At 57.2% G+C, this 17,380-nt stretch overlaps 1 long non-coding RNA gene across 1 annotated transcript, besides 6 other annotated features; it reads right to left on the reverse strand.

Moving 5' to 3' along the window:
* Window positions 1-589: 589 nt before the first annotated feature.
* LOC124909431 (uncharacterized) lies at window positions 590-6,513 on the reverse strand. Its single transcript, XR_007096079.1, has 2 exons — window positions 6,412-6,513; window positions 590-1,066 (listed from the first exon to the last, which is right to left on the reverse strand). It is a non-coding gene; the product is annotated as an uncharacterized LOC124909431 (long non-coding RNA).
* Window positions 2,482-3,404: an enhancer, noted in NCBI's record as "H3K27ac-H3K4me1 hESC enhancer chr3:129330613-129331535 (GRCh37/hg19 assembly coordinates)". NCBI's record gives its function as "activates a minimal SCP1, AML or CMV promoter by ChIP-STARR-seq in naive H9 embryonic stem cells {active_cell/tissue: H9 hESC(naive)}" and the evidence as "EXISTENCE:reporter gene assay evidence [ECO:0000049][PMID:30033119]".
* Window positions 3,405-4,326: an enhancer, noted in NCBI's record as "H3K27ac-H3K4me1 hESC enhancer chr3:129331536-129332457 (GRCh37/hg19 assembly coordinates)". NCBI's record gives its function as "activates a minimal SCP1, AML or CMV promoter by ChIP-STARR-seq in naive H9 embryonic stem cells {active_cell/tissue: H9 hESC(naive)}" and the evidence as "EXISTENCE:reporter gene assay evidence [ECO:0000049][PMID:30033119]".
* Window positions 5,638-5,932: an enhancer, noted in NCBI's record as "tiled region #12201; HepG2 Activating non-DNase unmatched - State 3:PromF, and K562 Activating DNase matched - State 5:Enh". NCBI's record gives its function as "activates a minimal TATA promoter and a strong SV40 promoter by Sharpr-MPRA in HepG2 and K562 cells {active_cell/tissue: HepG2 | K562}" and the evidence as "EXISTENCE:reporter gene assay evidence [ECO:0000049][PMID:27701403]".
* Window positions 14,230-15,005: an enhancer, noted in NCBI's record as "H3K27ac-H3K4me1 hESC enhancer chr3:129342361-129343136 (GRCh37/hg19 assembly coordinates)". NCBI's record gives its function as "activates a minimal SCP1, AML or CMV promoter by ChIP-STARR-seq in naive H9 embryonic stem cells {active_cell/tissue: H9 hESC(naive)}" and the evidence as "EXISTENCE:reporter gene assay evidence [ECO:0000049][PMID:30033119]".
* Window positions 14,298-14,592: an enhancer, noted in NCBI's record as "tiled region #14456; HepG2 Activating DNase unmatched - State 8:EnhW, and K562 Activating non-DNase unmatched - State 23:Low". NCBI's record gives its function as "activates a minimal TATA promoter and a strong SV40 promoter by Sharpr-MPRA in HepG2 and K562 cells {active_cell/tissue: HepG2 | K562}" and the evidence as "EXISTENCE:reporter gene assay evidence [ECO:0000049][PMID:27701403]".
* Window positions 15,658-16,267: an enhancer, noted in NCBI's record as "H3K4me1 hESC enhancer chr3:129343789-129344398 (GRCh37/hg19 assembly coordinates)". NCBI's record gives its function as "activates a minimal SCP1, AML or CMV promoter by ChIP-STARR-seq in naive H9 embryonic stem cells {active_cell/tissue: H9 hESC(naive)}" and the evidence as "EXISTENCE:reporter gene assay evidence [ECO:0000049][PMID:30033119]".

The following is a 17,380-nucleotide window of genomic DNA, read 5'->3' on the forward strand; positions in this document are numbered from 1 at the left end:
AAGACCAGGGCTCCACCTCCTGTCCTGAGCCCCAATGTGGCTAGCAGAGCCACCAGACGGTGAGAGTGAATCCTGTGCCCAGCACTGCCCTACCAGATCTTACACCATCCTTGCAGCCAGCTGACTAGGCTGTGGTCAGCAAACCCATTTCACAGATGGGGAAACTGAGGGGCATTAGCAAGGTAAGGATTGAAACCCAGATCTGGCTCCACATCTTATGATTTCTCCCTTCTACCCATTAGCTGGGAGCACCATCAGGCCAGGATGGCTCATGGTGGCAGCCCCTATACCCCTGGCTGGGCAGAGGAGGTGCTGACAATTACTGGCTGAATGAATGAATAAAGGAAGGAACAAACCACACCTTCCCTGGCCTTACTAAGATGCAATGAGGTGTTCTTCCAGAGGGAATTTTGGAGGGAACCAAGGGGAGATGAAAGGTACTCAGGAGTGGGGATTAGGTGGGACCCAGCAATAACTAACTTGGAATGAACTAACCCAGAATAGCCAGACCTAGTTGGTTATTCACACTGCAATTTGGGCCTTTTTCAGTTTTTGTTCAAGTCTGATTATATCAAGGAAAAGGTCTTGGTTTGAGGCTAACATGTCTTTAATGACTGTAACATTTGTCACTGTCTCTTTTTAATAGAGAGAAGGTCTCAAACTCAGGGCTGTTGACATCAGCGTGCTAGAATGTACTGATAGCGCTTTGTTTTCTTTGTACTTGCCGTTACTTTCTGGTTTTGGCAAGTGCTACTGGTTTTCCATGTACAGTAATGATGTAAAGCTTCCTTGATAAATGCATTGATTGAAGTCCTTTAAAAGTGAGTTAAAGACAAATGTGAAATAGGTGATAATCCAGATGCCACCAAAATGCCTGAAATTTGGGAAATGTCCAGCAGTGCCTTTGAAGACGAGGACCTGGTGGCCGAGTCAGGGCAGTCTTGCTTGGGGCACGGTGGTCAACGGCTATGCTGGCTCGGAGAAGGCGGGCCTGGGCCTTCCACCCCACTGGGTGGGCTTCCCACCCTGTCCTGTCCATTCTCACCTCTGACTGCCCAGGGCAGAGCTGTGAGGAGACAGAGGAAATGTTTTTCTTCTTCAATTGGAAAAAATAACAGTGGGGCCAGGGTTGCGCTGGGAGGAGGGGGCTCCTGCCCTCCCGTCCCTTGGGCCTGGCCTCTGAGAACGTTTCCTTGCAGGAAATGCCCCTGCAAGGTTAATGCTTTAGAGCACCGCCTCAGCCACAGGAAGGTGCTGGAAACAAGAGTCCTAGGGACGGCTTGGCAATCCAGCCATGGGCCTAGGTGGTGCCGGGAGCCATCACTGCTGCTTCTCGGGGGCTGGACCCGTCTCATTTCCCCGTGGGAGCAACCCTGCGGGGGGGGTCTTAGCAACCCCCCTTTTTTTTAAATTATACTTTAAGTTCTAGGGTACATGTGCACAACGTGCAGGTTTGTTACGTTTGTATACAGGTGCCATGTTGGTGTGCCGCACCTATTAACTCGTCATTTACATTAGGTATATCTCCTAATGCTATCCCTCCCCCTCCCCCCACCCCACGACAGGCCCCAGTGTGTGATATTCCCCATCCTGTGTCCAAGTGTTCTCATTGTTCAGTTCCCACCTATGAGTGAGAACATGCAGTGTTGGTTTTCTGTCCTTGCGATAGTTTGCTCAGAATGATGGTTTCCAGCTTCATCCATGTCCCTACAAAGGACATGAACTCATCCTTTTTTATGGCTGCATAGTATTCCATGGTGTATATGTGCCACATTTTCTTAATCCAGTCTATCATTGATGGACCTTTGATCAACCCACTTTTGCAGATGGGGACACTTAAGGTCAGAGTGGTGTGCCACTGGCCTGCAGCTGCACAGCCTCCAGGCGTCCAGGCCCTGCTCTCAGCCGCTGCATCCCTGCGCCCCTTGCTTGGGGCTGAGAGGCCTGACCCTAACCATCTGCATGACCACGGCGGCGCCACTGCTTCTTGGTCCTCAGTTTCCGTATCTGGAAAGAGGAGCATGATCTGCCTCCGTGGGCCGCTGTGAGGATGGGGCATGTGTGTGTCATCATGAAGTGTGAAGTCTGCTGACTTCCTGCCCTAGAGCCTCAGCTCCCATGTGGGCTTCTCCAGCCTATCCTCTGAACCCCTCAGGAGGGCTCCCTCCACCCAGATGATGATTATCAGGGAGATCACCTCCTTTAATCACCCACCCAAGGGTCTCGAGGGCCTGCGTGATCATTCCTTCCCCTCTCCTCCTGAGCACAGACACTTAAGGCTCAGAGAGGCCTAGAGGCCCACCCGAGGTCACACAGCAAACAGGTGGCAAAGTGAGCCCTGCCCCGCTGCCCCTCCACACTGCATCTCCTGTCTTTGCCATCGTGCCCCACTAGTGTGGCTCGGGAGGGGCGGGCTGACCCTCCAGTGGTGGCACCGACAGGAGACAGTACCCCTCTTGACCGTGTTTCCAGACAGCAGTGCTGTGGCTTCTCCACTGTGGATGCCACTGGGGAAACCTCGAGGCTTTGCCACCCTTCACATTCTAGGGGCCCCTCCTGGCCCCTGAAGTGTTCCCTCTCTGCCTCTTCTGGAGGAGGAGGCGACCTTCCAGGTCTGGTTTCCGGGCCCAGGAGCGATGGCCTGCCCTGGCCCTCAAACCCAGCCCCCAGGGTGGTTCCTCTCATCTCTGTGTCCCCGTGGGGCTGGAGGAAATGGTTCTCATTCCTGCATGTGAACGACGCCCTCTCCCGACTCTGGGCAGGTCCTTGCCCTCTGTGCTCAGGGGACTCATGGGCCGGGGTGGGGACCCGGAGCCCCGTGTGCTCACTGGGGGCGCCTGGCCTGCCGAGCCCCCGCATGGCCCCTTTGTGCTCTGTGAGTTGGATAATGGGCGGCATTCTCAGACGTCCAGTCATGGGTCTGGGCCCGTGAAAGGACCCGGGCAGCTCCACACTGAGGCCTCTGTCCAGCAGAAGCCTCAGAGGGGCAGGGCCGCCGCGGGGGCCCCCACCCACATTCCCTGGCTGCCATCTCCAGGCGACAACCGCCTGAGTGGGCTGGGAGGCAGGCGCTCCCTGCACAGACAGTAGGTGCTTAATGACCACATCCCCAATGACAGGAGCTACAAGGAGCAGGGAAAGCCGAGGGCTGATGAGGACTGGGCGTTGTGTGGGTTGAGCACCTTCTGTGTGTTAAACATTTGCCAGCCAGTCCTTATAAAAGCCATCAAACAGCTGTGCTGCTGACCCCATTTGATAGGTGCATAAATTGAGGCTCAGGAGATGAGGCCCTGGTCCTGGATTTGAACCGGTGTCTGTCTGACCATGACTAATCCAGTGGATGTTGAGTGAGAACCTACTGTTTGCCTTAGGGACACAACAGTGACCACACCCCGTGGCAGGAGGGCTGAGGGAATACACAGGGGCAGATCAGACAGCCAGGCCAGCAGGAGCACATGGGGCGGGCTTATGGCCGTGTACAACGTCACTGAGAATCCAGGATGAAGGCCGTCTTCACAAGGGAGGGACTGTGAGGCCCACCTACAGAGGAGGGGACTGAGGCCCCACAGGAAGCAACTTGCCTGGGGCCACCGAGCCGCCCAAGTTGGAGCTGGGATTTTCACTGAGGTCTGGCTGTTCCCTGTTCTCCAGGGGTGGAGCCCAGTGAGGGGCAGGTGGCACCCCAGTCGAGGCTGTGGAGTCATCATCCTGTGGCCCTGGATCTGGGTTCAGATCCCAGCCTCGTGCTGCCTGTGTGACAGGTGAGTCTCTTCCCCACTCCAGGCCTCCATTCCCACACCTGTGTAATGGGTATGACAGCCACTGCCTCTGCAGACTGTGGGGATGAAATGAGGTCATCCCTGTAGGACATTTAGCCAGCCCCTGACTCATGGCAAATAGTCAGTGACATTTGCTTCCAATCATTGGAGGGGGAGGCGTTGCTGCTCCCACTATCCCCCAGCTCTGACTTCCCAGTGCTTCCCTGCCCTGCCCTCGGGATGGACGGAGCAGGCCTGGCTCGTGTTTTATCAGATGCACACAGGCCAGCTCTTCTGCCCCCGCCCCCGTCAGGGCTTCACATCAAGACCCTTCCTGCCCCCTCCAGACCTGCACCCTCCTCTGGACCTCAATTTCCTCTTCTGCAAAATGAGATGAGGCCTCTGGCTTCCAATAGAGTTGGCTGATCAAGTTTGGTCTTTGCTGACAGCAGGGGCTGGGTCTTTCCTCAGTGGCTCCCTGGAGTCTGTCACTTAGTGGGTGCTCCCCCAGGTACCTCAGCCTCCTCAGTGCCCCCCGACCCCCACCCCTGCAGAGCAAGTGCATGAGCTTATGCTTCATAGCAGGTACCAAAACAACGGACACTTCTAGTGCCCTTCTATGGGCTAGGCCCAGTTCTAAACACCTTGCATATATTAATGTATTTAAACCTCACAATAACCCTACCGTGAACATACCTATTTACAGGTAGGGAAACTGAGGCAGGAGGTGAGGTGACTTGCCTGAGGTCACCAGCTAGTACGTGGTAGAACCTGGATTCCAGATTCCTTGTTCTTTTTTTTTTTTTTTTTTTTTGAGACGGGGTCTTACTCTGTCGCCCAGGCTGGAGTTAAGTGGTGCGATCTCAGCTCTGCAACCTCTGCCTCCTGGGTGCAAGCGATTCTCCTGCCTCAGCCTCCCGAGTAGCTGGGATTACAGGCACACACCACCACGCCCGACTAATTTTTGTATTTTTAGTAGAGACAGGGTTTTGCCATGTTGGTCAGGCTGGTTTCGAACTCCTGACCTCGTGATCTGCCTGCCTCGGCCTCCCAAAGTGCTGGGATTACAGGTGTGAGCCACCGCACCCGGCCTGAGTCCTGTTCTTAATGAACTTGAGTCTCCATGGCCCCAGGCCCCAGTGCCAATGGGCCCCAAGGGGTTCTCTTAAGTCTTGGGCTGGCACATACACCCCACTTCAGACCCGTTTCCACCCTGTAAGGCTTCCTGGCTCCCTTTATGCCCCAGTAAACTTCTGAGAACTGTTTTCTCACCTTCCATGCTTCCTGAGAGACCTGGCTGGGAATGAAGCCATCCTTGGAAGCCTCAGGGAGGCCGGGCAGGTGTGAGCTAAAATCCAGGTGAGCCTGCTTCCCGACCAGGCCTTTCCCTTCCAGTGGCCCCAACCTCACCACTTGGTTCCAGCCAACTCAGTGGGGACTGACAAGGCCCCACTCATCTTTTGAAACTGCTGCTGGGTCTGGAGAAGGAAGGGCTGCCTGCAGCAGGGTGAGTGCCTGTCACGAGTATGCAAGCTGCAGACCCTAGACATGGCCCCACCTCGGACCAGCTGCACGATTCTGAGAGCCCACTCCGACCAAGCACTTGCTGTGTGCCGAGCACACTCCACACTGGCACAATCCCAACCGCTCTAGGATGGGGCAGTGGAGGGGCCCTCACCCATACGGTCACACACAGGGCGTACAGGAGAGGCTGGCATGGGTGAGCAGGGTCCCGGAATACTGTGGTCTTACTGGTCTGATGGCCTACATGAGCCCCTAGAGAGAACCCAGTGTCCAGAAAAGGTGTTTCCTCTCTTGTTTTCTGAGTGAACTTTTTGTATCCCTCAAGACCCAACCCAATTTCACCTTCTCTGGAAAGTCTTTCCTAGTGAACTCCTAGGCCTCCCTCAAGACCTAGTCTAAAGACCTTCTGAGAAGACTTCCTTGAGCCTCAAAGCAGTATTAGGAGTTCCTCCACCCACTTAGAGCTCCTCCTATCAAACCTCATATCACCCAGTGCGAGGGCACGTGACTTCCCCAGTGCACTGGGAGCGCTTCCAGGGTGGAACACACGATCACTACTAATAAATGTTGGGCTGGGCAGATGGCTGCCAGCACCACCCCAGGACATGCCCCCCCAGCAGGCAGGATGGTCATGTTGGCTGCTGGAGACCCCCTCCCTGGGCAGTGCCAGGCAGATGCTGCCAAAGCGACCTCCCTGTCCCCACTGTCCATTGGCCCTACTGACTGCCCCTCATAAGAGCAGGCCACATCAGCCCTCCTGCACCTCCTGCCTCATCTGGGACACCCACTGGCCCTCAAGGTGACCGTTCACACCTGATTCCTGGTGGAGTTCTGAGGGTCCTGTCCCTCATCTCATGACACACAAGCAAAACCCTGGGCGGAATAGAACACTGAGGGTCATTCTTCTCCCTCCCTCCCTCCCTCCCTCCCTTCTTCCTTCCTTTCTCCTTCCTTCAGAAAGAACCCTTAACTAAGCACCTACTATGTGCCAGGCACTGGGATATCATAGTGAGCCCACAAGCATGGTCCTTGTCTTCAGCCCTACCCCAGGGGGCAAATAATCTTTAACCAAATAACTCAAATAATTACACAACCACAAAGAGCCACCCATCTTACAAAGGAGCCATACCAGGTGGTTCTGGAAAAGTTTCTCCCAAGGGGACTCCAGCCCATCTTCCTCGGGCCCCTGGGGCTGAGATCTGCAGGATGCAGCAGAGTCAGGAGGGTGAAGAGAGCCTTCCAGGCAGGGCACAGCAAGGGCGGAGCCCTGGAGGACAGAGGCCCGTGTGGGCAGAGCAGAGGAGGGTGAGAGGCGAGCAGAGGAGGGTGAGAGGCCAGCAGCAGGCTGGTGGAGGATCCAGGGCTCGTTCTTGGGGGTGTTAACTTTGAGAGGGTCCCAACCACCAGCCCAGCCTCTGGGCACAGGGGCTCCACTGGGTGCGGGTTCCCCTTGGCAGCCACCACAGGGATTGTTTATCTGTGCACGCTCACAGAAGTGGAAGCTGCCACCCCAGGCTGATGGCTCTGAAGGGGGAAGAACCTTCCCAGAGCTGTCCAGGAAGGGCAGGGGCCACAGCACATGGGCCGCAGCACACTGGCCCAGCTCCCAGCCACCAAGAGAGAGGCATTAGGGGTCCCGCCCTGTAGTGAGCTTCTTGCACAGCCTGTACCAGCCTGTGAAAGCCCCTGTCTCAGGGATACCCCATTGTGTGTGTGCATGTGGGCATGAGGGGGTGGTCTGTGCAAAGATGGGGTGCCGTGCATGTGAGGAGGGGTATAATGTGTGTTCGTGTGCATGGGGTGCATATTGGGGTCACATGCACACACATGGGAATTCCTGGTATGTGGTGGAGGTGGCTGTACAAGCCAAGGTCTGCATGGGCAACAGGCTGATGGAGTGGACTTGCACGAGGGCTGTGGCTGGGAGCCAAGGCCTGCCGGGGCCCAGGGTCTGTGGTTCACGCTGGGGATTTGGGCCTTGGAGGCTATCGGGACCTTTTCTGTCAGGGCCTCTGACAGGTCCTGATGCCCTGTGGCTGAATGAGGGCTTCTTCATGAAACATGCGATTTTATAGTCAATCTCCAAGAGCCAGATCTCTGCTTTGGAGGCCTCGGCCTGACCTTGGGTGGCCCTGGATGATCCAGTCTCTGATCTGAGGTGGTCTAGCCTCCAACCTTGAGTGGTCCAGCTTCTGGCCTTGGGGGGATCAGCCCTTAAGCTAGGGCAGCCCAGCCTGTGAGTAACACTCACTCTGGATTTCCCTGGCCAGAGTCCTCTCTGCGGAGGAACTTGGGACCAGTTCTTTAGGGAGTTTTGGGTGACATCATCCCTCCTTACTCAAGAGCAGCCTTACGAGAACGACAGCTGGGTATCTCGGGATGAGCCACCCTCTTTCCCCTGTGGCTTCCCCTGTGACTTCCCCACTCCTACTTAGACTCTGAGTCCTGAAGGCCCAGAAGTCCCCGAGTCCCCTTGTCAGTGTGGGATTCAGTCCTACCAGGCCCCTGAACTTCCCTCCTGCCTTCTCCCCCTGGATAAGTCTCCTGGTGTCTCCAAGATTTGGATCTGGCTGCTCCTCTTCCAGGCAGCCTTCTCAGCTCTCACAGGCTGGGTTAGGCTTCCTCCTCCTCTACCCCCACAGTACCCTGGACTCCCACCATCCAAGCACCCACACCAGGTGATGCTGTCTCTGTTGCTCTGGCTCCTCTGCCAACCAGGAGGCATCTGAAGAGCTAAGTCTTTTGGGAACATACCTATGTCCCCCCATCACTAGGCAGAAGGTTAAACTCTAAGCAGGCTCACGAGAGTGAATGAACACATGAAGGAACAAATGAGAGAGGAGATGAATGAACGTCCTCCCAACATCTTCTGGGCTGGTGCCCACTCCTGTGTAGCCTCCAGGGCAGCCAACGGGGAGGCAGCTTTGACCTTCTCCCCTGGCCTCCTGCGGTATCCCCACCTGCCACTCACCCACCTGTCAGGGAAGGTGGCTACCCACACCCTGGCCCGAGAAGGGTTTGTGTCTCTAAAATACAGGTTTTCCAGGGAGGACGTGACTTAGCTGGGATGAGATGTACAGGACAGTCATGCCAGTCTCACCTCCATTCCCCCAGCTCACAGCCCCTGGCGGGCAGGAGGAGGCACTTTGGGGTCCCCATGCAACATAGGAGGCTGTGGAGCCAGAAGGATCTGGGTTCAAATCCAGCTTTGCCCCTCTGCACGGTGGGACCTTGGACAGAGCCTTTTTCCCATCTGCAAGTCTGGGGTGAGGCTGCACCTTGGCGGCTCACAGGAGCCCAGTCATCCCTGGCACAGCCCCCAGGGCATGGCTGAATCAAGACTACGAGGTCTGAGGTGGAAACATACTTTTGGAGTCAATGCAGCTAATGCTTCCTGAGGCCACTGTGAGGACCCTGACAGGCACCCTCAGTGAGATGGGGGCCGAGGAGGGTGCTGGGCTGGGAGCTGTTGTCTCAGCACATGGCGGGAGATGCTGTGGGAGGGGGAGGCAGAGGCAGGAGACCCCAGGGAAGGCAGGTGAGACAACCATGAGGGTGGTCAGGCAGAGGAGGGCATCCTTTCACCAACAAGTCCTGCGGCCTTGGGGGTGGCAGCTCCTGGGGCCTTCTGAGCCCACGTCAGTGTCTTCCTCGATCCCTTGTAAGTTGTAGATGGTGTTCTGTCACCCGCGGCCTGCCGCCCACCCCAATGTGTGTCCCCCAAAATGTGAATGGGGGGCTGTGGCAGTGGCAGGGCTAGAGGCTCAAATGCAAGTAAGTGTCCTAAACCGAGGCTGAGATCCCCCACAGTCCCACCCTGCATGTCCCCAGTCCACCACCCCACCCAGCTGCCCAAGGCAGAACCCGGGAGGCACCTGGATGCCCCGTCCCTTCCTCCCACCTGTCCAGAGGTTGCTTCCCAATCACCCCTGCTTAGACTCTGAGTACTAAAGGCCCAGAAGTCCCCGAGTCCCCTAGTCAGTTTGTCCCTTTTAGCCCCAAGACTACTGTACCCGTCTGAGCCGTCACCTCCCGCCTGGACCTCCCCTCCCACTTCCTCTCTCTGCTGCCCTCCTCCCTTCCTCTCCTCAAATCACTTTTCCTGTGGGACATTTTCAAGCTGCAAATCTGGTTGTGTTGTTTTTCTCCAACTTCAAGTCCTGCAAACGCTCTCAGGGTAAAGCCAGGTCCCTTAGCCCAGGTTCCCATCTCCATGGCGGCCCCACCCACTCCAGTCATACCTGCGCTCCTACTGCCTCCCACCAGGCCTTCGTCATTACCGTCCCCCTCGCCTGCGACCACCTGTACTTCCCCCCAGCCCATAAACACCCCATGCATCCGGCTCAGCTCAAGGGTCCTCCGGCTGAGGGCTGCACCCCGCCTGCCCCGGTGGCTCAGCCGTCCTCATGTGCTCTGCACGGCAGCTGTGTCGTTTGATTAACGTCTGCAGATGGCACAGGGCAGGGTCCTCCTCTGTCCCGTCCACCGCTGGGACCTGAGGGCCAGACACTGCAGGCGGATGCTCCTCCACCTGTGAGCACAGGGTGGGGGTAGAGCCCCCGGCCTGTCCCACCATCCAGGGGAGGCTATTTCCAGCTCCCAGAAGTAGGAAGTGAGTCAGAACAGGGGCAGGCGGCCGCCGGCACTATGGGCGAGACGGCTGAGACCTGCACAGAAGGCTGGACCACCACCCAGGGTGGCAGGAAGGAGGCCTAGAGGAAGAGGATAGGAGGGAAGACCCTCTCCCCAGCAAAACAGGCAGCCCTGTGGGGCCCCTGCGGAAGCCGGTTTCGTCAGCACAGATGCAGCCACCAGGCCCATTGTCCTGCCACACCTGGGGCCCACCAGGAACAGCCTCCAGCCCAAACCCTCCAACCCAGTGGACACCCGTCCTGGGCCACTGCACAGGCCGGGCCTGCTGTGATCTCATTCACTGTCCACATGAGCACATGAGCAGAGGCTCTCCCTGGCCCCGTTTTCCAGAAGGCCAAAGAGAGGCCTTGAACCCAGCTCTGTGTGGTCATGGAGATCTCTCTGGCTTCTAAGCCTCAGGGGGTACAGGAGGCCCAGGGGACTCCAAAACTGCTCCAGAGGCAGCCACCACCAAGTCTGGAGCAGGCTCAGGGAAGGGGGCACAGACCTGCCAGGCCAAGGTTCTAGTCCTGGCTCAGTCTCTATCTGAAAACAGGGCCAGCCAGGTTCCCCTTCCCCGCCAGGCCTCAATTTCCCCATCCTCACTCGAGAGGCTTGGCTGGGCAGACTGAGTCAAAGCCAGGGGCTGCCTGGGCAGGGGGCTCAGGGGAGTCTCTGGGGACCAGGGTCCCTCTTCTTCCCTGCATCACAACCCGGGGCTCCAGGGACCCCAAGGATAGAATTGGCCGGGCAGCAGGGGAGCAGCACCCAGGGAGCCTCCATCCCAGAAAAGAGGCGGTGCAGGCCAGCCACGGGCAGCCCAGCTCAGGGGCACCTTCACATCCTCAGCTGGACCCATGTCACCACCACTGCTGCCTCTCCATTCTCACTTCCCTTTTGGTGCCAGAGCTGGGAAACCTCTGCCTCAAAAGGATCTGGGCTTGGATGGGCTGTGCAACTAGATGGGCACCCTGAGGCCTGGCCACCGAGGGTGGGCAGACCCAGGACATGGGGCCAAGGAGAGGCAGGACCACACAGGACAGACCCACAGGAGCATTGTTGGGTTATGACCTCTAGTCTAGGGTAGGGCGGCTGGGGGGTGGTAGAGTTTGTTTTTAAATTTTTAAAAATTTTATGTAGAGACGGGGGTCTCGTGATGTTGCCCAGGCTGGTTTTAAACTCCTGGCCTCAAGTGATCCCCATCCTTGGCCTCTCAAGGTGCTGGGATTATAGGCGTGAGCCACTGCACCCAGCCAGTTTTGAAGTTTTTCTTTTTTTGTGTCTGAATTTTCTAAGTTTTCCTCAAAGAATATGTATTATTTCTGTTAAAAAAAACATGGAGGCAGAACGAGGTGGCACATGCCTGTGGTCCCAGCTACTCAGGAGGCTGAGGTGGGAGGATTGCTTGAGCCCAGAAGGTCCACAGTTCAATGAGCTATGATCGCACCACTGCACTCCAGCCTGTGTGACAGAGCGGGACCCTGTCTCCAAAACAAAAAGCAGAGGGGAAAGCGATGGGTTGGGGGACCTGGATTTTTACAGGGAGGTACAGCTGTGACCCCGGGAAACTCTGGCCACTATCTGATGGACATTGGTGTTAGTGTCAGCACATGCTGCAGAATGATGGGGAAGGTAGGGGAAGGGAATACCCTGGTTAGTGTCCCCATCTGCGAGTTACCCTCCACAGTGCAAGGTGCTTATCCCCATCCAGACAGAAGCGTGCAGGTGCTGAAGCAGGAGCTGCCTCCGCCTGCCTCCTCTCACCCACTCTAGCCCCAGTCTCCTCACCAGACCTCAAGGCCATGCATGGGGCTTGGGCATAGGAAGCCCAGGACGGAGCCCTGACCCTTGGGACCTTCTCGTGCCCACCCAATGCTAGGCCCAGTGTGACTGGGGAGGAGCTGAGAGGTTAAATGATAAGCCCCGGAAAAGGCTCTTAGCAGTTGCAGCCACGTGTAATTTACAGCAGGTCTGAATCCCCACTGCCCATAATTCACTTCCATTTGTGTGACCCCAGGCCCCTTGGGGAGGATGCTGGGAGAAGGCAAGAGTTGGGGGTGGCGCTATTTTCAGCACCGGGAGTTGAATGGTGGGGGATGATTGATGCAATCTGTGGGTCTGCTTGTGCTCCTGTGCCCTAGACCCTCCCAGCCACGAGACCCCACCCGCCCAGCACCAACCCCAGTTCCTGCCCTTGCTAAGCAAAGGCCCGCCAGGCCTCACGCCGGGACTGGCCGGGTCAGTTTTGCCGGGCGTTGCTGTTATCCCCATGTATCAGAGAAGGAAATTGAGGCTGACAAGCAAACTCACTGCCCAAGGCCACACAGCCAGAATCATCCGAGTCCAGCCCTGTGGGCTGTCCCACCCACACTCCTTCTGTGCCACTGTCCCCCACCCCCTGGCCCTCCTGTGTAAGTTTGACTCTCCCCTCTGCTTTCTCCGCATCTGCACCTCCCACCCCCAGATGGAGACTCCTGAGCAGGCAGTGAGGACTGCGGAGGGGTCATCACACTAGCGTCCCTTTCCATGCTCGGCTCAGCTGTCCACTAAGGGCCGTCTTCAGCCCGGTGCTGGGTGCTGGCTCAGCAGAGGAGGGGGCCATAAGCCAGTATGCCCAGTGCACAGGGGAAGATGGAATGCAACTTCATGAGAGCAAGAAGAGGCCACCAGCAGTTTAGCCTCGGTGCAGGGAGGTCAGAGAGGGCTTCCTGGAGGAGGTGATGCCTAACCTCAAAGAGGCACCGGAGCTGCCAATGGATGCAGTAGTTCAGGCAGGGAGAGGAGGAAACAGCATGTGCAAAGACCCAGAGGCAGGAAGGAGCACGGCACATCAGTCTTTCGCTACTGCTGGCCCTGCCTTGCCTGACCCCTCCCCTCCCCATCCGTGCCCTCCCTGACCTCCCCCACCCACACCCATCCTCTCCTGCCGGCTCCTCTGCAGACCGGAAGGCGAGGTGGAATCCAGTCCCACAGCTCTCAATGAAGAGAAACTGCTTGGAAGGAAAAAAAAATAACATTAATTTCATTGTCTCCACTCCCAGATCCTGCCTGAAAAACAAAAACAAAAATCAAACCCCAGCTGGGGAGGTTTTATCTGGCTATCTGGCGAGGCTTTCAAGGAGGGGGATTGAACGGTGGACACAGGCCCGGACCCCCGTGGGCGGTGGAGAAAGCAGGCCTGGTTTCCCTGGGTGGTGGAGTGGGCAATCCCTCCATGCTCCTGCCAAATCCCTGCATGCTCCCACCTCCTAGCTCAGCAGGTGCTGGGCGGTCGCTGCTGCTGCTGGGGTGGGACAGCGGTGCTGACCATGCTGTGTGTGGGCGCTCTTCCCTAATAACTTCAGTTAGTTCCCTGCCAGCCCTGGAGGCAGGGTGTTACCCCTTCACAGGCATCAAAGGGTGTGCCTGGTCAGGAGTCCTCAGTCACACAGCAGAGCTGGGATGTGAACCTGGGGTTTTCTGGCCCCAGAGCCCACTAGCTTGCTGGGCTCATGCCACAGTGCACAGGGCTCTAGGGGCAGTTAATGAAGAGGAAACACAGGCAGGGTCAGGCAGGGCCACTCCTTCCCCCGCCCCACACATGCAGCTACGTCTGCTCACACTTCCAGGGACAGGGAGCTCACTCCTCACCGTCAGCCTCACACATATGTCCCCTTGCTGGAAATGTCCACTCCCACCCCCACCCCGGCCAGGTTCCTAATCACTGACCGGGAGACCAGGAGGCTCTAGAATGGTGGGGCAGGACTGGAGGTGAAGACCATGGAACATATGAGCCCCACAACCTCAGCCTTTCCTAGAAAGAAGCTTCCGGCTCCTGCTCAGCCTGGGTGGGGATGAAGGCATCTGTGTGCTAACCACATGCCCCGGAGCCAGCCATTCCCACGGTGGCCCCCATCAATGCCCCACCCTCCTCCTGTCCTTGCCCAGTGCTGGCTCCCTTGGCCTGGGCTTGGGACCCGACACATCCCCATCTGAGATCAGTATCCACGAAGGAGACTCGGTGTGATGCGAGGGCCTGCCATAACCCAGCACTGCACCCAAAATGGCGCCACCTCATCTGCTGGCTCTGCCGACAGCACTATGGGGACTGTGAAGACAGGAGGGAGAAGGGGAAGGAGAACAGGACGGCCACAGGAGGGAAGGAGTAGTCTGGCCCCTTCCAGCACTAAGGTGCCCTGGGGACAGTCCCTTGGGGTGCCTACTGGACCTCAGATAACCTTACTCCCCAAAGCCCCTCACAGCCCTGTGGGCCATATCACCCGTCCTTGGTGCCAGGCCCAGGCAGGGCTTTCCATTGCCCCACAGTCCTCCAGAGGGTGTAATTAGGCCCATTTTACAGATGGGGCACACTAGAGCCCCAGCACTGTGCTGGTGGCTCCAAAAGCAGCAAGGGGTCCCCAGGCCAGGTCCGGCTGACCCCTACGTAGGGACTGGGTGCCTCCCCCTTCCACTTCCCTCCAGGGTTGACCTCAGCAGCTCCTGGTTGGGCTTTTCCCAGAGCCAAGGCCGGAAGCACGAGTCCCGAGTGTTTGTTCAGGCTGGGCTGGGGCTCCGGGCTGGCGAGGCGGAAACAGCCGCAAGATGTTTGTCCAAGGGGGTCAGGCTCCCCCACCGGGAGGAAGGAGGAAGGAGGAAAGGCCGGAGGAGCAGGAGGCCCGAGTCAGCTCTCCCAGCCAGGTTCTCACCTCCAGCCTTGCCTTCCTCACCCCCAGAGGCTGGGCTGCACACAGTAGGCGCTCAGTGGCTGAGGAAGGAGATGTGGTGCTCTCCTCTCCTTCACTCAGCCGGGGCTCAGGCCCCAATCCCAATCGCCCTGGCCTCCTCTTCCTTCTGTCTTAGTCCAAACTGTGTGCCCCCGACAAATTCAAATGTTGAAACCCCCAATACCTCAGGATGAGACTGTATCTGGAGACAGCCTTTAAAGAGTTCATTAAGTTAAAATGAGATGGTATGAGGAGATTAGGGCCAGGTGCGGTGGCTCACGCCTGTGATCCTAGCACTTTGGGAGGCTGATGCAGGAGGATCGCTTGAGCCCAGGAGTTCGAGACCAGCCTAGGCAACACAGTGAGACCCCCCCCACCCGCCCCGCCATCTCTACAAAAAGTTAGCTGGGCATGGAGGCTGCTGCCCGTAGTCTCAGCTACTTAGAGGACCGAGGTGGGAAGATGGCTTGAGCCCAGGAGGTCAAGGCTGCAGTGAGCTGTGGCTGTACCACTTGCACCCTCCAGAACTGAGAGGAAATAGGTTTCTGTTGTTGAGCGATCCAGTCTGTGGCCTCTTGTTACGGCAGCCTAGCAAGCAAACCTCCCCCTGGCCCCGTGACCTCTCCCGCTGTTCTGGAGGCTGCAAGGCCAAGTCCAAGACCAAGGAGTCTGCAGGGTTGGTGTCTGCTGCAGCCTCTCTCCTTGGCTTGCAGATGGTGCCTTCTGGCTGTGTCCTCACATGATCTTCCCTCACTTCCTGCATATCTGAATCCTCAGCTCCACTTCTTTATTTTTTTTTTTTTGAGACAGGGTCTGACTCTGTCACCCAGGCTGGAGTGCAGTGTTGCGATCTCAGCTCACTGCAGCCTCGACTTCCTAGGCTCAAGCCATCCTCCAACCTCAGCCTCCTGAGTAGCTGGGACCCCTGGCAGAGGCACCATCGAGGCTTCCCTTTGGCTCTCCGCTCCAGCAGCACTGGCCTCCTCACTGAGCTTGGTCCAGGACGGTGCTTTTGCTGTGCCTTCTGCCTGTCATGCCCTTTCCAGATCTCCCCAGGGCTGCCGCCTTCTTATCCCTCAGGTTTCTGCTCAAATATCCCCCTCCAAAGAGGCCCTCCCTGACCAAAGTGCCAATCAGGGCTAGTATCCATCTCTCTCACTGGATGGACCTTCACCAGGGCAGGGGATATGTCTCCAGGGCCACAGCAGGGCCCGGCACACAGTAGGTGCACAGTAAAGGTTTGCTGAAGGCAGTCAGGCTCACCTTGGTACTGCCACCCCATCTCCCAAAACACAGGGTCACAGGGTCTCAGAGGCAGAGCAGGGCCTCCAGGGGGGCCCGTGGATGTGGGTGGTCCAACCATGAGGACTGCCTACCTGCTGGGGGCACAGGCTGCAGCCACCCATCCCCTCGGCTTCCCACGCAGCACCTGTGTTCACCGCCCCCTTCCCCATCTGTCTTCCAGTGATTCCTCCAGAGGCTGCTTGTTTGGGAAGAAGGCTAGATGGCTAAGCAGGTAGGACCAGGTGGAAACACAGCCCATCACTTTGGACTTGGGGACTCTGCCAGTGCCTCCCTGCTCCAGTGTCTGAGGAGGACTTGAGCATAGGAAGGTGCGTGCCTGCTCAGTCCTGGGACTCGTGGGGTGGAGCATTCACCTGGGGACTCGTGGGGTAGAGCTGGGGCTGGGACCACTGCCTGCACCTCCATCTGGGAGCAGGATGAGGGAAGGGCAGGAAACCACTGGGAGGCGCTGGGTGGGAGTTCGCTCTTTGCTCAGTCAACCCTGTCTTGAGACAGCCCTACTCCCACTTGAAAGGCTGAGACAGAAAAGACTGACACCACCAAGTGTGGGTGAGGATGTGGAGCCACAGGGGCAGGGGTGAAATGTGAAATGGTGCAGCCACTCTGTAAAACCTTTTGCTAGTTTCTTCAAAAAAAGTCAAATGTGGCTGGACGCGGTGGCTCACGCCTGTAATCCCAGCACTTTGGGAGGCCGAGGCGGGCGGATCACGAGGTCAGGAGATAGAGACCAGCCTGGCTAACACGGTGAAACCCTGTGTCTACTAAAAATACAAAAAAAATTAGCCGGGCGCGGTGGCAGGCGCCTGTAATCCCAGCTACTCAGGAGGCTGAGGCAGGAGAATGGCATGAACCCGGGAGGCGGAGCTTGCAGTGAGCCGAGATTGCGCCACTGCACTCCTGGGACAGACAGAGTGAGACTGTCTCAAAAAAAAAAAAAAAAAAAAAAGTCAAATGTAGACACGTGCATCCTGGCAATCCCACGTCTAGATATTGGAATAAAATTAAAACACAGGTCCATAAAAACCTGTACAGATGCTTGTCACAGCTCCATTGATAATTTCTGCAATCTGGAAACAAGCCAAGTGTCCCTGGGCTGGTGAAGAGGTAAACACATGGAGGCCTCCATACAATGGAACGAAAAGGAACAGCCTCTTGATACTCCGACACAAGGATGCATCTCCAAGCCAGGCTGGAAAGGCTCCACGCTGCAGGATCCCATGTACATGCTGTTTGGAAAAGGCCAGGCCACAGGACGGGACACAGATGGGTAGTTGCCAGGGCTAGGGCTGGGGCTGGGGGGAGGGACTGACTGGGAAGGGCCACCAGGGAATTTTCTGGTTGCTGGGAATGTTCCATGTCTTGTTCAGAGCATTTACAGGGTATAAACGTGCAAAGTTTACCAGACTTCACATTTGAGATCTGAGGCCACTTCTCCTGATGTAAATTATAACTCAATGA

The sequence above is a fragment of the Homo sapiens genome, chromosome 3, assembly GCF_000001405.40.
Source record: "Homo sapiens chromosome 3, GRCh38.p14 Primary Assembly".
NCBI lineage: Eukaryota > Metazoa > Chordata > Mammalia > Primates > Hominidae > Homo > Homo sapiens.